The sequence below is a fragment of the Homo sapiens genome, chromosome 5 (assembly GCF_000001405.40).
Source record: "Homo sapiens chromosome 5, GRCh38.p14 Primary Assembly".
Taxonomy (NCBI): Eukaryota; Metazoa; Chordata; class Mammalia; order Primates; family Hominidae; genus Homo; species Homo sapiens.
Genome location: NC_000005.10, coordinates 179,723,415 through 179,741,577, shown reverse-complemented (window position 1 = coordinate 179,741,577; position 18,163 = coordinate 179,723,415). Strand labels below are relative to the sequence as shown.

Here is an 18,163-nt window from a genome sequence, read left to right as displayed (position 1 = left end):
AGTAACTGGGATTACAGGTGTATGCTACCGTGCCCGGCTAATTTTTGTATTTTTTACCAGAGACGGGGTTTCACCATTTTGGCCAGGCTGCCCTTGAACTCCTGATCTCAAGTGATCCGCCCACCTCAGCCTCTCAAAGTGCTGGGATTACAGGCGTGAGCCACCACGCCTGGCCAAGAGTCAATTCTTTAAAGCCTTCCAAACTTCACCAAAAAGGCATCCCCCTTCCTCAATATTCTCACAGGCTTTAGCCCTGAACTCGGCTTTGCAATGACCTGTGTATCATCTGCTCCCACTTAGGCTCCGCGATACAGGTTCACCATCTACCACGATTCCTGGCTCCAGCAGGACTTCAATGTTGGTTGAAAGAACCACCAACTGAACGCTGGGAATTGTGGAAAAGGAGTGGAAAATTCCCAGGTTTTTACTCTGGATGACTGGGTTAGGGAAAATACTTAGAAGGAACATATGATTTGGTAGGAAAAAGGGAAAGTCCATTTTGGATATGTGGGAAATATATCCTGGAAAGATGAAAATGTCCAGCAGACAGCTGGAAATGTGGATTTGAAATCTGGAAGACAGATCTGGACTGGGGATTTGAAGAGTATTATTACAGGTGACAAATGAAGCTATGAAAGAATCAATAACATCACCCAGGGGAAAAAAAGAGTGAAAATGGCCAGGGATATAGTTGCCTAGAGAACACTAATATTTTTAAAGTGCAAAGAAAGTTTCTCAAGCCATAAAACTAGGAATTTCCCTTGAATACTCCCCTCTCCTGCCCGCAAAACAAAGCCATCTAGTCCAGCAACCCAGTCCTGTCACCTCTGCCCTCAGGAACTGTCCAAAACCCATCTCCTCTTCTCCATCTCCACTGCTACCACCAGCCCCAGCCCTGGCATCTAGAGAGCTACAAAAGCTTTATATGCATCCACTCCTATCCACACCAACCCCAGGCATCCTCCACCTAGCACCAGAACCATCTTCCAAAACTTAAAGATCGGCCGGGCACAGTGGCTCACACCTGTAATCCCAGCACTTTAGGAGGCCGAGATGGGCGGATCACGAGGTCAGGAGATAGAGACCATCCTGGCTAACACGGTGAAACCCGTCTCTACTAAAAAAAAAAATACAAAAAAATTAGCCGGGTGTGGTGGCGGGCACCTGTAGTCCCAGCTACTTGGGAGGCTGAGGCAGGAAAATGGCGTGAACCCGGGAGGCGGAGCTTGTAGTGAGCTGAGATTGCGCCCCTGCACTCCAGACTGGTCAGCAGAGCAAAAAAACCTAAGTTGGATCATATCATGTTTCTGCTCCCTATCCTGCTACTGCTTCCTACTGCACTTGATCTGGTCCTAGGTGCCACGCTGCTCCAGACACACTGGCCTGCTTTCTGTTCTTCATGCCAGCTCAGAAGGGTCCTAACTCAGACACTTGGTACTGGTGGTTCTCTCTAACTGGAATGTTCTAAGACTTTCAGCTGACTGACAGCCTCTCAATCATCAAGCTCAAATCAAGGCATCTTAAGCTACGACTGTCATTTAGTATCACATGACTCTGCTTTTAATTTTTGCTTAGCACTTATTATAACAAAGTTAACAAAAATATTGACCTCCTCTTTCTCCATGACAGCAGAATTTTAATTTGTCCTATTCGCTACTGTACACAGCAGTTCCCTTGGTGTCCATGGGGAATTGGTTCTAAGACCCCTGCCCAGCCTCGCCGGGACACCAAAATCCAAGGATGCTCAAGTCCCTTACATAAAATGGCCTAGTATTTGCAATAATATATACACATCTTCCAGGATACTTTAAATCACCTCTAGATTACTTACAATACTTCGTATGATAGAAATGCTATGTAAATGTTGTCATATTTTTATTTTTTATTTATTTTTGATGCAGGGTTTGGATGTCACCCAGGGGCTAAGGTGCAGTGGCGCAATCATAGCTCGCTGCAGCCTTTACCTCCCGGTCCCACGCAATCCTCCTACTTCGGTCTCCCGAGGAGCTGAGAATACAGATGCATGCCACCATGCTTTTATAGAGATGACATCTCACTATGCTGCTCAGGCTGGTCTTGAACTCCTGGGCTCAAGAAATCCACCAGCTTTGGCCTCCTGAAGTGCTGGAATTACAGGTGTGAGCCACCATACCCAGCTATATTTTTATTTTTATTTTTCTATTCTATTCTATTCCGTTCCGTTCCGTTCTATTCTATTCTATTTGAGAGATGGAGTCTTGTTATATTGCTAAGCCTGGTCTAAAACTCCTGAGCTCAAGCTATCCTCCCACCACAGCTTCCCAAAAGTTCTGAGATTACAGGCATGAGCCACCATGCTGAGCTGCATATTATAATTTGTGTTAATTGTTGTACTGTTATTTTTTTACTTTTTTTTCCAAAAAATATTTTCTATCTACAGTTGGTTGAATCCGCAGATGCAGAATGCGCAGATACGGAGGGCTGATTGTACTCTGGCCCACAGCAGGTGCTCAAATATTTGCTGCATGAATTAATAAGGGAAAATAGTAAGGAGACTGAGAAAAAAAGTCAGAAAGCTGAAAAGGAAATCAGAAGAGAGGAGAAGCTAAGAAAAGGAAGAAGTCACGAAGAATGATGACTAAGATGCCAATGAGGCTGGGTGTGGTGGCTCACGCCTGTAGTCCCAGCTACTGAGGAGGCTGTGGTGGGAGGATCACTTGAGCCTGGGAGGTTGAGGCTGTAGTGAGCCATAATGGTGCCACTGCACTCCAGCCTAGGCAACACAGTGAGACCCTGTCTCCAAAAAAAAAAAAAAGATGCCAATAAATTTGGCAAGTCCATCCTTGGTGTCCTTTACGGAGGCAACTTCAGAGTAATAGAAGAGGTAGAAGGCATATTACCATAGGCTAATGAGTAAATGAGAAGTTCAAGTGGGAAGGGCAAAGGGAAAGAAGAATATGGAATACTATTTTGACAGTGAGAAAACACAGGACTTGTCAGTGTGGAGAATATTTGTTCATAATTTCAAGCTGAAGGGAAAGACTCAGTTGGGAAGGGAGATACTGAAGACAAAAAAGGAAAGAGGGTTCTAGACAAGGTCTCAGGCATTACAGGAAGAAATGAGATCCTAAAGCCACACTGATCATCTTTTTAAAAAAACTAATGCCCCACATGATTACAGTACAGTATCTGTTTTATATTCAGAAATATCTACTTCCTGGAAATAATTTGTTATTTCATAATTCTTACAAGAGTTTGGTCTACAAAATTAACAGCTTTCTTAACTCTTAAAAGGTACACATGGGGTGGTTTGGCAGCAGAGAGCTATGAGGTGTGCAGCATACTCTCAGGTGGTTCAGAGAATAAAAGTCTGAGAGAGAGAGAAAGAGGCAGAGAGTGGGAGAGAGAGAATGTGCAAATGATAACAAATGGGGCACAACAGTGACAACAGGTAAATCTAGGTAACCAGATGTTCTTTGTACCAAACTTAGAGCTTTTCTCTAAGTTTGACATTATTTACAAATAAAAGGTTAAAAAAGAGAGAAAGAAACTTTACACACCTAAAACTAAGTAAGAAAATCAACTTTCGGCCAGGCAAGGTGGCTCACACCCATCTCTACAAAAAACTTTAAAACCTAGCCGGGTGCGGTGGTGCACACCTGTAGTCCCAGCTACTCAGGAGGCTGAGGTGGGAGGACCCCTGGAGCCCAGCAGTTCAAGGCTGTAGTGCCCCACGATCGCGCCACTGGGTGATAGAGCCAGACCCTGTTTCAAGAAAAAAGGAAAAGAAATGAAAACCTAATAGACTCATTCCTTGAAAATTAGAATAGAGAAAAAGCCTGAAACAGTGTTTCTGATTCATCTCTAACAGACTAAGCAGATAGTGGCTAAGACTTCGCTGTGGTGGGATATCCTAAGAAAACAATAATCTGAAGTGAAGTAAACTCTAGCAGTAAATCTGATCCCTTCTCAGTCATACAAATGGGTTGCTGGTGAAGTAACTATGAAATGACTGCCAAACAGTATATAGTTCACTTGGAAAAAACTTAAGAACTTATAATATTCCTTAAGTAAGAAATATTAATGAGATCAAATACATGGAGTTGTCAAAAATAACAATGACTAAGAGGTACCTTCTTTCCATCTCTTTCTGCAAAGCTGTTTTCTCCAAGCCAAAATCGTACATACTCAAGGACTCTCTTCCCCCCTGAATTGAAGGAGCCACTGTTTTCTTAATGATACTTATCTTCTGTTCCGATGACCCCATTCCAAGGCCAAAGAGCTCAGCTAGACTAACTTGGAGTCCAAATGCAAAGCGTCCCTCTTCCTAGCAGAGACACAGAAAAGCACATCCACCGTAGAGTTTAAACTCAAGAAATCCATAAGTCAAGGTTTAATGTGATAAAAAGACATCACCTTAACATGGCACATCTGATTAAGCTCTGATATCAAAAGGAATGACTGACAAATTAGATTCAAATTCTAACACACTCAGAATTAATTTCTCTTCAAACAGCATGCCCAGTTTCCCCCACTGACTCAGGACTAAAAAAAATCATACAGGGTCTAAATTCTTAGAACAACTTTAAACAAAAATTGAATCATTACTAATATACCTTTTTTTTTTTTTTTTAATTTGAGACGGAGTCTCCCTCTGTTGCCCAGGCTGGAGTGCAGTGGTACGATCTCAGCTCACTGTAACCTCCGTCTCCCAGGTTCCAGCGATTCTCCTCCCTCAGCCTCCCGTGTAGCTGGGACCACAGGCGCACGCCACATGCCCAGCTAATTTTTGTATTTTTAGTAGAGACGGGGTTTCACCATGTTAGCCAGGCTGGTCTCGAACTCCTGACCTCAGGCGATCCACCCACCTCTGCCTCCCAAAGTGCTGGGATTACAGGAGTCAACCACTGCTCCCGGCCCCCCTAATATACTTTCTAGGGAGGATTCAAGGCAACTATTTGTGTATTAAACTATGATTTTTATGAGCTTTCATTATTTACTTCAATTGCAATGACCACGAACTACTCTTAAAAGTCCTTCCTTACACAGGCCAAGCGTGGCGGCTCATGCCTGTAATCCCAGCACTTTGGGAGGCCAGTGCGGGAGGATCACAAGGTCAGGAGATCGAGACCATCCTGGCCAACATGGTGAAACCCCGTCTCTACTAAAATACAAAAAATTAGGGGAGCGTGGTGGCACAAGCCTGTAGTCCCAGCTACTTGGGGGGCTGAGGCAGGGGAATTGCTTGAACCTGGGAGGCGGAGGTTGCAGTGAGCCAAGATGGCACCATTGCACTCCAGCCTGGCGACAAAGCGAAACTCCCTAAAAAAAAATAACAAAAGTCCCTCCTTACAAGAGTTGTTACTATGAGCCATGAAAGGTGGCTCATGAAGTTACATCAACTTGCTTTTTGAAGTTAGTGTATAGGAGGAGAGATTACTGAGTAAAGCACTACCAAGTTTCTATCAATAATTCAACAAACAGGCACTTAAGATGCACCTCAGATGTGTACTACCCAAGTGTGAGCCCTCCCTGCCTCCAAGAGCTGACAGTCTAGTTGAAAAGATGCGACCTAAAGTAACAAGTGACCATGTGCTAAAAATAAATAGCATAGGCCGGGCGCGGTGGCTCACGCCTGTAATCCCAGCACTTTGGGAGGCCGAGGTGGGTGGATCACGAGGTCAGGGGTTCGAGACCAGCCTGCCCAACAAGGAGAAACCCTGTCTCTACTAAAAATACCAAAATAAGCCAAGCGTGGTAGTGTGCGCCTGTAATCCCAGCTACTCAGGAAGCTGAGGCAGGAGAATCGCTTGAACCGGGGAGGCAGAGGTTGCAGTGAGCAGAAATCATGTCACTACACTCCAGCCTGGGTGACAGGGCGAGACGCTGTCTCAAAAAAAAATAAATAGGCTAGGTGCAGTGGCTCACACCTGTAATCCCAGCACTTTGGGAGGCCGAGGTGGGTGGATTATCTGAGGTCAGGAGTTCGAGACCAGCCTGGTCAACATGGTGAAACCCCATCTCTACTAAAAATACAAAAATTATTAGCTGGGCATGGTGGCCAGCACCTGTAATCCCAGCTAGTAGGGAGGCTGAGGCAGGAGAATCACTTGAACCTGGGAGGCGGAGATTGCTGTGACCCTAGATCGCGCCATTGCACTCCAGCCTGGGCAACAGGGCAAGACTCCATCTCAAAATAAATAAATAAATAAAACAAATAGCATAGATAATATGTTTCCTAAATGTTTTGACAAAGGAGATTCTTACTGCTGTGGGTTAGGCTGGTCAGGAACTAGCTTTAAGGCAGAAGAAAGAGATAAGCTGGGACTGGCAGGGTGGCAGGATTCTGAAAGGGATGGAGGAGGGTCCCACAGGCGGCCTTTAAATTTATGAAATACTGTATTTTATTTATTTATTTATTATTATCATACTTTAAGTTTTAGGGTACATGTGTACAATGTGCAGGTTAGTTACATACGTATACATGTGCCATGCTGGTGCGCTGCACCCACTAACTCGTCATCTAGCATTAGGTATATCTCCCAATGCTATCCCTTCCCCCGAAATACTGTATTTTCATGTCCACACTCATTTCTTTTTATTCTTAAAAGAATCCTGGGGGCGGCACGGTGCGGTGGCTCATGCCTATAATCTCAGCACTTTCAGAGATCAAGTTGGAAGAAAGGATCACTTGAGCCCAGGAGTTCAAGACCAGCCTAGGCAATATAGTGAGACCCCATCTCTAACAGAAAAAAAACTTTTTTTATTTAGCCAGGCATGGTGATGTGCAGCTGTGGTTGATCCCAGTTACTCAGGAGGCTGAGGCGGGAGGACTGAGGAGGCTGAGGCGGGAGGATTGAGGAGTCTTGAGCCAGGAAGGTTGAGGCTGCAGTGAGACATGACTGTGCCTCTGCACTCCAGCCTGGGCGACAGAGTGAGGGGAGGGCAGGGAAAGAACACGGGGCGATAATAAGCCCAACATGCCCCTAGTTTACAGATGAGAAAAGTGAAGATGAGAAGGCTTGACCAGTTGATACAATAAGCAATGAAATCTGAGTGGTTTTTTTTCTTCTAACCCAGCAATCGAGGCTAGTGTGGAAGAGAATGAGAAAAATAATTCAACCAGAGCAGAGGACCTGTGAGGGACATTAAAAGATAGGTTAGGTCAGACTGGTCCCAAATGCCAAACTAAAGACTTTGAACTTCATCCTTTCAAGCAAGAGAAGGATTTCCAGCATTTCGAGAATAAGGGAGAAAGAAACTAAATGCCTACAGACTGGTTAGTTAGCTAGGGACAGGCACTGCAATAGCCCAGGTGAGAGATAATAAAGGTATGAATTTAAAAATACACATAACAAATTAGATTTTAACATTGGTTTTAAACTAAAATCCCCAAGAAAACCACTGAAAAACCTTGTCTCTTTTGTAAATCTGTTTCAGGAAGAAAAACCTCTAACCAACAAATTTCAGGAACATTTACTGAGAGCCCAAAGGGAGTAATAATTGACCAACAATCTAACATCATCAGAGATTTTAAACAGGCCTGATAAATTAAAACTAGAATTGTCAACAATATTGCAGGAATCTCAAGTTCACAAAGTTCAGGCTACCTAAACAAGGAATACTTATATGCAACTCATTGAACATTTTACTAAGTTTTCCAAAAATTTCTTGATTTTCCATTCAGAGGAGTTTCAGTTGGTCAACCAAAGGCCGACTTATTTCCACATGAAAGCCCTGATCCTGCTCACAGCACAGGATCTTGTAAAGGGCAAGGACCCAATAAACATTTGCAGAATAAATGAGGCCAGGCCTACGGTGCAGGAACTCCCTCCATCACAGGCGACTCGAATGCTAGTCTATTTCGAATAAAGATCTCAACATCCCGGAATCAAGTCTGGAAGAAAAACCCTCCGGTTAGCGTTCGCCAGCCTTCCCAGGTCGGGCCTCCTGCAAGGCCCTCAAGGCGCTGTTTTCCCAAAGTAACGCCACCGTGCCACTTCCCAAAGATGACAACCTCTCAGCTCCCTGCCATGTTACCCTCTCTCCAGCCAGATCCAGGAGTCGCGGACGCCTGGGGAAGTCTCCCAGCGGCCCGATCCGCGTCAGAGGAAGCGTTTTCGGGAGAGGGGGCTGCCGCCACGACAAGCGCCTTCCCGCGCCCTACTCACCGTGGCCGGGCGGCCGTGCTCGGGGCCGTCAGCGGCGTCCAGGCGCGGGGCCGGGGCGGCGGGCGCCGGGGCCGTGGCGGCGGGCGGCTGCCTGTGCTTCCCGGCGCGCTTGGCCTTGGCCTGGATGCAGCGCTGGTGCAGGGCGAAGGTGTGTTGGCGCTCCAGCTCCAGGCGCTCGGGCGACACGGCCTCGTAGCGGGCCTCGCAGGTGCTGTGGTGGCGCCGGCACAGCTCGATGCGCCGGCGAAGGCGCTCCATGACCGCGCTGTGCCGCGGCAGCGCGAACTCCGCCATGGGGCAGGTGGGCAGCACCATGGGCCGCGGGCTGCACGGGCCGGGCCCGGGGCCGGGCCTCTCGGGGCCGGCTGGCACTGCGGGCTTCGCTCCCCGCGGCTACCCCTCTCCGCCTCACGGCCGCGCCATGCCCCCGAGGGCAGCGGAGCGGGCTCGCGCGCGGCGGCGGGTTTTCCTCCTGCCCCGCTCGGCCCGACCCCCAGCCGGCGCTTGCTGCCTACCTCAAGCCTCGGCCTCTCCCCACCGCCCCGGCCCCATTGTTTTCCGCGCTACCGCCGCGGCCGCCATCTTAAAATTGTTTTCGGGCCTCTCGGAAGAAGGCGGGGCCTCGGTAAGAGACCTTGTGCATCACGACTGATGAGCAGGGGCCCTGGCCAATCAGAGAAGGAAGAACCGGCCGCCCGAGGGCGTGGGGACGAGCACGCAAGAGGCGCGCTCGGGCGCCAGAGCGGTATTTAAAAGGAATTCTCAAGCGAAGGGCGGAGGGAAGCCCCTGGGCGGGCCTTAATCCTGGGGGCGGAGCTAAGCGTGACTGACAGGAGCCCGTCCAAGAGGCGGCTATTGGTTTCCTGCACAGCACCCGCTGAAGGCAGGCCCTTCCGGCTACCCCGAGAAAAGGGGAATCTGGCAGGCGAGTGCGGCGCAGCTGGCCAGTCCCTGTCGCCCGCCTGGCAGTACAGAGACCTTTTTTTTAAATTATTTTTTAAATTTCGACTTTGATAAACTCTAAGTAGCCACGCTATTTTAATGTCAGCCGTTTTACTTTGACCTTATTCCTTGTATCCAGCCCCATAATTGGTCAGAATCGTCTAGTGAGCTGGTAGTTTCCTCTTGCAACATTCCGAATCACTGGTAGTTTCCACCTATTTGTAAAAGCCCGAGCAAGTTTCAAAAGTGCAGTATTACTCACTACTTAAAAAAAAAGTCCAGAAGATGTGAGCAAAAGCATGCAAGAGTGCAGCTCCATTAGAGGGAACTGGAAATGCAAAGGACGACGTTTCACCACAACCACCGCCTTCCAGGCTCAAGCGATTCTCCTGCCTCAGCCTCTCCAGTAGCTGGGATTACAGGCATGCGCCACCACGCGCGGCTAATTTTGTATTTTTAGTAGAGACGGGGTGTCTCCATGTCGGTCAGGCTGGTCTCCCACTCCTGACCTCAGGTGATCCGCCCACCTCGGCCTGCCAAAGTACCGCGATTACAGGCGTGAGCCGCCGCGCCGGACCAAAAACAGTCCTTTAGGTAAAACTGAGTTACTCAACAAAACCAAACCAAGACAAATTATGCCCCATTATTAAAACTAATAGGCAAAGGGGAGTAGAGGGACTGGAGCAATCAAACAGTGTTAGTACTAAAACTAGATAGTGTGATGCCAAAGGATATCAGGAACTCTAGATATGGGCACTCTAATTGCTAAAAGGTTAAGCAGGAGGTGGCAGGAGGCTGCACATTGAGATACACCATCAGTAGTTCAAACATTCGTTACTCTAGCTTTTTACTAGGGCTCATGAGGTTTTATTTTAAAATCAAGAGAAAACAACAATCAAATATGTCTTCATACAAACGCAGCAGAAAAATACAAATCCTAATGTTTTAAATGGAGAAAGTGGGCCACCAAGGCAAAAGTGCCATAATGCAGTCCTGCTTTTTTTTTTTTAGCATTCAAACAAATTTTACACCAGAACTAAACTATTTCTTAATAGAAAAAATAGTAACTAGGAGCACTACATTCTGTGTACATACTTTTCTTTAGTATGTAATCTAAAAATTTAATAGCACATAAAAAACTGGGCTAACTTTCAAAAATACCCCTAAAGTATTTAAGTATATGTAAAATAATGGAGTCTGATTCTGAACAAATAATTTTCTAATAAAAATTTCAAAGTTCAATGGTTCCCCTAAGTCTTAAAGAATATTATCTACAAATTATCAGTAGCATTCCCTCCTTTTCTGAGCTGCTGTCCACACTATTATACAACAGAAACTACTGCACCGCAATCACATGGGCAGGAAGAGGCAAGGGCTAGACAGAAAAGACTGCATCAAACTCACGTGGTGAGATAAAAGTCATTATTTCACTGTCCATAATAGTTTCTGCCTAGTAGTGAACTCTCACATAGTGGCCAATTATACGAAGATCAACCCACTAATTGAACATAGTCACACACACACACTGAAGGTTACTATGAAGAAATTCAGTCAAAAGCAGACACTTAACACAGGGCTTTAATGTAACACCATTTAGTAACATGACAAATTGAAAAGTGAGGAGTACTTTGTGGATAAGAAAATGGAGGAACACATCTGATGGAGAGTGGGCATTTGACAACAATGGAACAGGTAACCAGCATGTAAAATCAAAATATAAGTGTCTTTTTAAGAGCTGAAAGCTGCTGCTGGTCATTCATTAATGTGTCAGACATTTAATCAGGATGCTGGACCTTCAAAATAACTGAAAAAAGAACCAAGAAAAGGCGTTTTTGTTTTCAACAAACTTTACTAAATAACCCTGGAAAGGCAATGAACGATCTGACAATTTAAGCTCTAATGATTTAAAGCTCAGCTAGAAGAAAGTGAGGCATGACATATACTGTCAACGGAGGGTGAAGGAGGCAGATTTCTGGAAATGCAATGATCCCACACATTTGCTTCAAGGAGAAACCTGCAGACATATTTTCAGGTCTTGCTAAGTAACAACTGTTTATTTGTAATCAATACATTTGGGAAAGTCTGCTATGTAGCTAAGGTCACTGTGACCACAGAACAACAGATGAAAAGGAAAAAGCACTGAACAGCAAGAAAAATACATCCCATCCTCAAAAGAATTTAAGTGAACAAACTTTAAAAAGAAAAAAAAATAGATACAGCCTTCATCTTTTACAAATATATTTCCTTCCCAATATCTTCCCAATATAAACACTGTGGAGTGTTTATATATTCAGTGCAAGAAACAGTATCATCGGTACATTTGAAAGCCTCTAAAGAACAACTGAAGCTAAAATAATATCTAACTCTGAATACGTTTCAGTGTAGAGTAATAATAACATTATTACACTATAGTGGTGTGGGAGAGGCTCTGATAGCACCCATCTGCATCCCGCATGAAAAAACAAACCTAAGATCACTTTTTTAAAAATTCTACAAGCCACGTTAAAAAAAAATTTGAACAGGACTGCTTTATTGTGTAATTTATGACACAACTGTTACATGAATTGCAAATGAAGGCTTAAAATATATAGCAGCTACAAAAAAAATCAGATAACTCATGCTTCATGTCACTCCTCCCACAAATACTTCTAGTCTGTTCAACTGCAGTCAATTCTGTATTGGTTTGCCTGTGAATTAGACTTCTCAAGTCTTTACACAGAGTAAAAGAAATGGATAAAAATCAAAGTATTTTTCTGTACTTTGTATCAATGTATTCTATTCTGTACTTTGACCCTGGAAAGGTATGGGTCTGCTTAAAAGAAAGAAGAAACATACACGTAATCACAATAAAGCTTAACATTATGCAGGGCTTATAATCATTTTCAGCAACGGACTGCAAGCTGCACTGTGAAGAAAATGCATAGCAGAGGAGAAAGCTGGGGATCTGAGGAAATAGGTAAGGAAAACAGTGTCAACACACAGTGGAAGAAGTGATGAAGACATCTATTCCGGAGCTCACGTGCCATGCCCTGCTAGCATTCCTTAACAAGCCACCTGCTCCAGAAGGCCACAGCCTGACCCTCCCAAGTGGAATATAAATGCCCAAGTGCCACATGAAGCCACCTCCTCCACTACCTAAAAAGCTGTCTGGGAACTGAGCTACAGAACACACACACTTTCTGGTCTAACAAACATCAAGTGAAAGAATTTTTTCTTATATATCTATTTTTAATACAACTTAAACGCAACTTTTATATGAATTTGGGCTTCTATTCAGTCCCTCTCCTCAATTTCCTTAGGAGGAACTCAATAATGGAAGCAAACAAAACAAGATTCTAACCACAAATGACTGCACTTTAAACGTAATTATCAATTTTGAGGGACAGAGGTGTGAATGTTTTACAATACCAAACTTTAAAAAAAATCTATTATAAAAACTGCAACTCATCTCCCTAACATTTTTAAATGGTGGTATTATGTTTGCACAAACAGATTAATACATTAAATTAAGCCAAGATCTTAAAGACTGGCAAAGTTCTATCATTCTATTTTAAAAACAAAGATGTTAAAAAAAAAAAAGTTAGTTTGCTTCATGTTACATTTCACAACCATTATGTTAAATGTTTTCTTTTCTACAGAAACAGGGTCCTTTATATCACAACTGCAAGTATTTACTGCTAGATGTTTAAAGTTACACAGACTAGTGTTCAACTGGAGCCTGCTGATGGTGATGTCTTGAAGTTTTCTGAATGTCAACCTAAGGTGTGCCAGGTCCTCTCCTAGGACCACTCTTGCAGGGGAGGAGGGAGAAGAAATCACAGATCAAGCTCTTAAGATTGTTTCACTCTCTTCGTGGCTTTCTGTTTCTTGGTGATCTGTTCAAAATTTCATCCTCCTATTGATTGAAAAGAAATTCATTATAATTAGCACATTTAAAAAATAATAAAAGTTCACCATATTTTCAAGATCAGCCAGACTGAGGGTAACTTATTTGAGGAAAAAAATGAGGAAAATGATGAGAAGAAAATGCACCAAGAAGAATGGTTGTCTCAGAGGTGGTGGAATTATGCCTACTCTAATTCAGTTTAGTCTTTATTGTTTTCTATAAACATACACTTTTCTCAATCTAACCCATAAACATTTTCTTAAAAAAGGATCAGACACTGTGATTTCTTAATCTTGCTTAATCCCAAACAATCTACTGGCCTATGGCACACTAGCCCCATTCTGAGGATAAGAAACCAAGGATTCATGAAGATGGAAGGCTATCCAAGTAGACTGACTCCAAGGCTGCTGCTCTGTACTCTATCACAAGTTGCTAAGATTGTAAATTACCCTATGAAAATATTCCCTTTTTTTAAATGCACCAGCAACTTTTTAACGTGTGAGGGAGTTTGGGGGAAACATGGTCTCTACTTTTAAGAATTGCATTCTAGTTAAGACAGAACATATCCATGGAAAATATACAAAAGATACAGATAGCAATGATCTTTATTAATAGGAAGGCAGAGTTGTAGCTGAAAGTAAAACCTGAGGAGAGCTTTCCGGGAGAGACCAGATTTAGACACAGAGGTGCTGGGTAAAGGACTTTAGTAAGCAATGGTACATACAGACAGTGACTGTTCCCTTTCTCTCATACTCTATATATCCAATCTACCACAAAACCAAGATCCAGATCTCCAACTAGTTCTCATACCCTCTGTTCCTCTCCTGTCACCCTTTGTGGGGCCACCGTATCTTTCCTAGATGATTACAGGGACCTCCTAACTGGTCGCCCTGATTCTCCCTGGTATATAGGAAACACAGCAGACACAGTCATCATCCTGTGACACCTGTGTCCAGTAGCCTGTGATGGCTGCCCGCTTCACTAGGAGGGAAAGCCAAGTCCACACAACAGCCTGTCTAACCTGGAGCCTTCTCCACCCTTCTTTTCTCCACTCTCTCTGTCCACTCACCATACTGGCCTTGTAGACAACCACTTTAGGCCTCAATACTGGCTGTTCTCTGTGCCTGGAATGCTCTTCCCACTTACATCCCCATGGAAAAGTTCTCTACCTCTTTCAAGTGTTTGGTTCGATGTCATCTTTCGAGTAAGGTTTTAACATGGTGACCCGCCTACCTCTAGCACTTTTAGTATCTTTTCCTGTTTTAATTATTCATCGTTTCTTACTTCCTAATACGCTGTGTTGTTTACTTCCTTAAAATGTTTACTGCTCATTGCCTGTTTCCCCCAAGTAGAATTTAAGCTCCCTAAAGGCAGAGTATCTTTGTCTGTCTTACTCACTGACAATGCCTGGCACAAAATGGGCACTCAACAAATGTCAGTTAAATGAATGAATGAACCCATCTATGGACAACGGGGACAAAAAGTTTAGAACACAGTGATTTGTATAAGAAATACTTTTCAGGGCACAGTGAGGAGAGGCAAATAGACTGTTAATGACCCGAAGTTTCCTTCTTAGCAAGCATTTTATTTTCCCCCTATAACCTTCTGCTTATTTCAGAAAATGATTTTCAGCTAAAAAGATACTTCTGAGATTAATATGTAGCTTAAAATTATCAAACAAAACACTGACCTGTATCACAAAGAATCCCACTTCAACAAAATTGGCTTTAACAGAATTTTTACTGCCATAAGCCACTGTAAACTACCCTATTAAAATATTCCCTTTACATAAATGTACCTTCAGCTTGGTAAAACAAAATGTGTGACCCCTTTCCTTTACCTCTGCTTTAGGTTTTCTGTCTTCCTCCTCTTGACTGACAGTGCCACCATCTTCTTCAGCATCACTTTTCTGTTTCTCTTCTAAGACAGAAGTTAAACAACTGAGCAAAACCTTATTATTTTTGGTGATTATATATTAGCATTAGAACACATCTCTAGATCTACAATTTTTTTTTTTTTTTTTGGAGACAGAGTCTTGCTCTGTCGCCCAGGCTGGAGTGCAGTGGCGCGATCTCGGCTCACTGCAAACTCCGCCTCCCGGGTTCACGCCATTCTCCTGCCTCAGTGTTCTGAATAGCTGGGACTACAGGCGCCTGCCACCATGCCCGGCTAACTTTTTTTATTTTTAGTAGAGACGGGGTTTCACCGTGTTAGCCAGGATGGTCTCGATCTCCTGACCTCATGATCTCCTCGGTGGCCTCCCAAAGTGCTGGGATTACAGGCGTGAGCCATCGCGCCCGGCCACTATTTTTTTTGAGATCGACTTTGCTTGTCACCCAGGTTGGAGTGCAATGGCATGATCTCGGCTCACTGCAACCTCTGCCTCCAGGTTCAAGTGGATCTCCTACCTCAGCCTCCGGAGTAGCCGGGATTACAGGTGCCCACCACCACGCCTGGCTAATTTTTGTATTTTTAGTGAAACGGGGTTTCACCATGTTGGCGAGGCTGATCTCGAACTCCTGACCTCAGGTGATCCACCCACCTTGGCCTCCCAAAGTGCTGGGATTATAGGCGTGAGCCACCTTGCTCGGCCAACAATTTTTTTTTTTTTTTGAGACTCAGTCTCGCTCTGTCGCCAGGCTGGAGTGCAGTGGCGCAATCTCGGCTCACTGCAACCTCTGCCTTCCGGGTTCAAGTGATTCTCCTGCTTCAGCCTCCCGAATAGGTGGGACTACAGGCGCCCGCCACCATGCCTGGCTAACTTTTTTATTTTAAGTAGAGACGGGGCTTCACTGTGTTGGCCAGGATGGTCTTGATCTCTTGACCTCGTGATCCACCCACCTCGGCCTCCCAAAGTGCTGGGATTACAGGCGTGAGCCACCATGCCTGGCCAACAATTTTTTTTTTTTTTTTTTTTTTGAGACAGAGTCTTGCTCTGTCACCCAGGCTGGAGTGCAGTGGCCCAATCTCGGCTCACTGTAAGCTCTGCCTTCCCAGGTTCACGCCATTCTCCTGCCTCAGCCTCCTGAGTAGCTGGGACTACAGGCACCTGCCACCATGCCCGGCTAATTTTTGTATTTTTAGTAGAGATGGGGTTTCACCATGTTAGCCAGGATGGTCTCGACCTCCTGACCTCGTGATCTGCCTGCTTCGGCCCCCCAAAGTGCTGGAATTACAGGCGTGAGCCACCGCACCTGGCCAACAATTTTTTTTTAAGAGACAGGATCTCGCTGGGTCTGGTGGCTCACGCCTGTAATCCCAACACTTTGGGAGGCCCAGGTGGGAGAATCGCTTGAATCTGGGAGGCAAAGGCTGCAGTGAACCGAGATCACACCACTGCACTCCAGCCTGGGCAACAGGGCCAGACCATATCAAATAAATAAATCAATAAACAAACAAACAAACAAACAGCTGAGCATGGTAGCGCATGCCTGTGGTCCCAGCTACTTGGAGGGGTGCTGAGGTAGGAGGATCACTTGAACCTATAAGGTCAAGGCTGCAGTGAACTGTGACTGTGCCACTGTACTCCAACCTGAGTGACAGAGTGGGACCTTGTCTTAAAAAATAAAAAAGAGAGAGAGAGAGAGACAGGGTCTCACTCTGTTGCTCAGCTGGAGTGCAGTGGCACTATCCTGGCTGACTACAGCCTTAAACTCCTGGGCTCAAGTGATTTTCCTGCTTCAACCTCCCAAAGTGCTAGGATTACAGGCTTGAGCCACCACGCCTGGCTAAAAACAATCCTTAACTTGACTGTAAAGGTTTAACAACATCGTAGGGTCTTGGCTTAAAGCAGATTTTCTGGACTCTGTTTCTTACCAAGTTTCTCTTCTCCTTCCTCCTCCTCATCTCCCTTGTCCTTTTCCTCTTCCTTCTCTTCTTCCTCTTCCTTCACATCCGGTTGAGGTGCATCAGTTTTCTTATACTCCATACCACTGGTCTGTTTCTGAAATGTTCCCCAAAGTACAATTTTGTTTACATGTTCATGTATTATGTTATATAATTCCTGAATGCCTACAGGCAAAGTTCTGTTCCAGGCTGTATACAGGGATAGATATACAGAAACGAATAGGATGTAATTCCTACCCTGAAGAGCGTGTATGTACGTGTGTGTATGCACATGTGCTTGTGTGTTTCAAGGTAGAACAATAAAAACAAAAGGGCCAGGCAGGAAAATAAAGGTCAAAAAAGTCAAGGTGACTGAGGCACCGATACACAGAATAGTGGCAGAGGCTGAGGCTGGAAAAGGAACTTGGGATCCAGTTACAAAGTGCTATGAATGCCAGATGAAGCATAATCCTCATTTAGCAGAAGTAGAGTCCAAAATAAGACTTTCTTTTTTTATGATAGCATGCAAAAAAAAAAAGGCTAAACAAGAAAAACTAACAATAAGGCTGTGGTACCCCAACATACTGTTTTGAGAGTGGGGAAGGTGAAGGCAGAATGGATAATGAGGAATCAAAGACTGAATTACAAAGAATAGAAATAGCTATGCCAGCAGGCAAAGCTGATTATTGCCCAAGTGGCTAGTTTGGTATCTAAGTTTATTGTTTTTTTTTAGAAAGTTGCTGCCGAACACTATGGAGAGTAACAGATTAGGATAAATAATAATAGCAACCAAGGGGCTATAAATCCTGCTCCCATCTGGGCACAATAAACGGCCACTGAGGAACAGTAAGTAAGGTTTCTGAAGTCAACACCAAACATGGCTTGGTCATTACTGAGCCACTACAAAGAAAACCTCAGGCAACATATCTTAGTTATTTTTAATAATCACTAGAGTGATGTCTCTAAAATTGATTCTAAAAAAAAAAACTTCCTACCTTTCCAGAACAGCAGAAGAGGATAACCAGGAACACAGGAAGGGCTACAGTTAGAATATAGACTACCCACAGCCACGGGCGCTCTTCAGCTGCCTCGATCATCTGCCCCACAACGCCTGGCTGAAAAACAAGACAGGGCTGATTGAAAGTTCCAGCTTTTGACACCAAACATAGGCCGTGCTGTTTTTCTGCAGTTCAGTTATGGCATGGCACTACGCAGGACCTTCTTTTTCAGAGAAAATGCTCATAAAATGTAAAAAAGAAATTAGAGAAAGCCTCCATCCTCTTGCTCTCCTTATAATCAAGATGATTTCACTCTCATAGGTGCAAAAGCTGGCTTCTACATCACCTGCAAAAGGCTCCCT

At 44.5% G+C, this 18,163-nt stretch overlaps 2 protein-coding genes across 15 annotated transcripts in view, besides 4 other annotated features; both read right to left on the bottom strand.

Annotated features, from left to right (window-relative positions):
• Nucleotides 1–8,756, bottom strand: part of MAML1 (mastermind like transcriptional coactivator 1) — a 44,462-nt gene extending 35,706 nt beyond the window's left edge. Inside the window, exon 1 of the mRNA NM_014757.5 lies at nt 8,151–8,756. Within this exon, the coding sequence (NP_055572.1) occupies nt 8,151–8,465 (315 nt within the window). The 5' untranslated portion in view covers nt 8,466–8,756. The remainder of the gene's footprint in view (nt 1–8,150) is intronic.
• Nucleotides 7,852–8,352: an enhancer, noted in NCBI's record as "H3K27ac hESC enhancer chr5:179160227-179160727 (GRCh37/hg19 assembly coordinates)". NCBI's record gives its function as "activates a minimal SCP1, AML or CMV promoter by ChIP-STARR-seq in naive H9 embryonic stem cells {active_cell/tissue: H9 hESC(naive)}" and the evidence as "EXISTENCE:reporter gene assay evidence [ECO:0000049][PMID:30033119]".
• Nucleotides 8,164–8,223: a silencer, noted in NCBI's record as "silent region_16734". NCBI's record gives its function as "represses an Ori minimal core promoter by ATAC-STARR-seq in GM12878 lymphoblastoid cells {active_cell/tissue: GM12878}" and the evidence as "EXISTENCE:reporter gene assay evidence [ECO:0000049][PMID:35858748]".
• Nucleotides 8,464–8,663: a silencer, noted in NCBI's record as "silent region_16733". NCBI's record gives its function as "represses an Ori minimal core promoter by ATAC-STARR-seq in GM12878 lymphoblastoid cells {active_cell/tissue: GM12878}" and the evidence as "EXISTENCE:reporter gene assay evidence [ECO:0000049][PMID:35858748]".
• Nucleotides 9,114–9,213: an enhancer, noted in NCBI's record as "active region_23758". NCBI's record gives its function as "activates an Ori minimal core promoter by ATAC-STARR-seq in GM12878 lymphoblastoid cells {active_cell/tissue: GM12878}" and the evidence as "EXISTENCE:reporter gene assay evidence [ECO:0000049][PMID:35858748]".
• CANX (calnexin) overlaps nt 9,937–18,163 on the bottom strand; it is a 52,986-nt gene continuing 44,759 nt past the window's right edge. For 11 of the 14 annotated variants that reach the window (XM_011534665.4, NM_001363994.1, NM_001363996.1 and 8 more), the window contains 4 exons: nt 17,799–17,918; nt 16,795–16,921; nt 14,819–14,898; nt 9,937–12,987 (listed from right to left, as the gene is read on the bottom strand). In XM_011534665.4, coding sequence (XP_011532967.1) covers nt 12,934–12,987; nt 14,819–14,898; nt 16,795–16,921; nt 17,799–17,918 — 381 coding nt within the window. In that variant the 3' untranslated portion in view covers nt 9,937–12,933. The remainder of the gene's footprint in view (nt 12,988–14,818; nt 14,899–16,794; nt 16,922–17,798; nt 17,919–18,163) is intronic. The other 3 variants (NR_157048.1, NM_001363998.1, NM_001363999.1) reach the window with 3 other exon arrangements.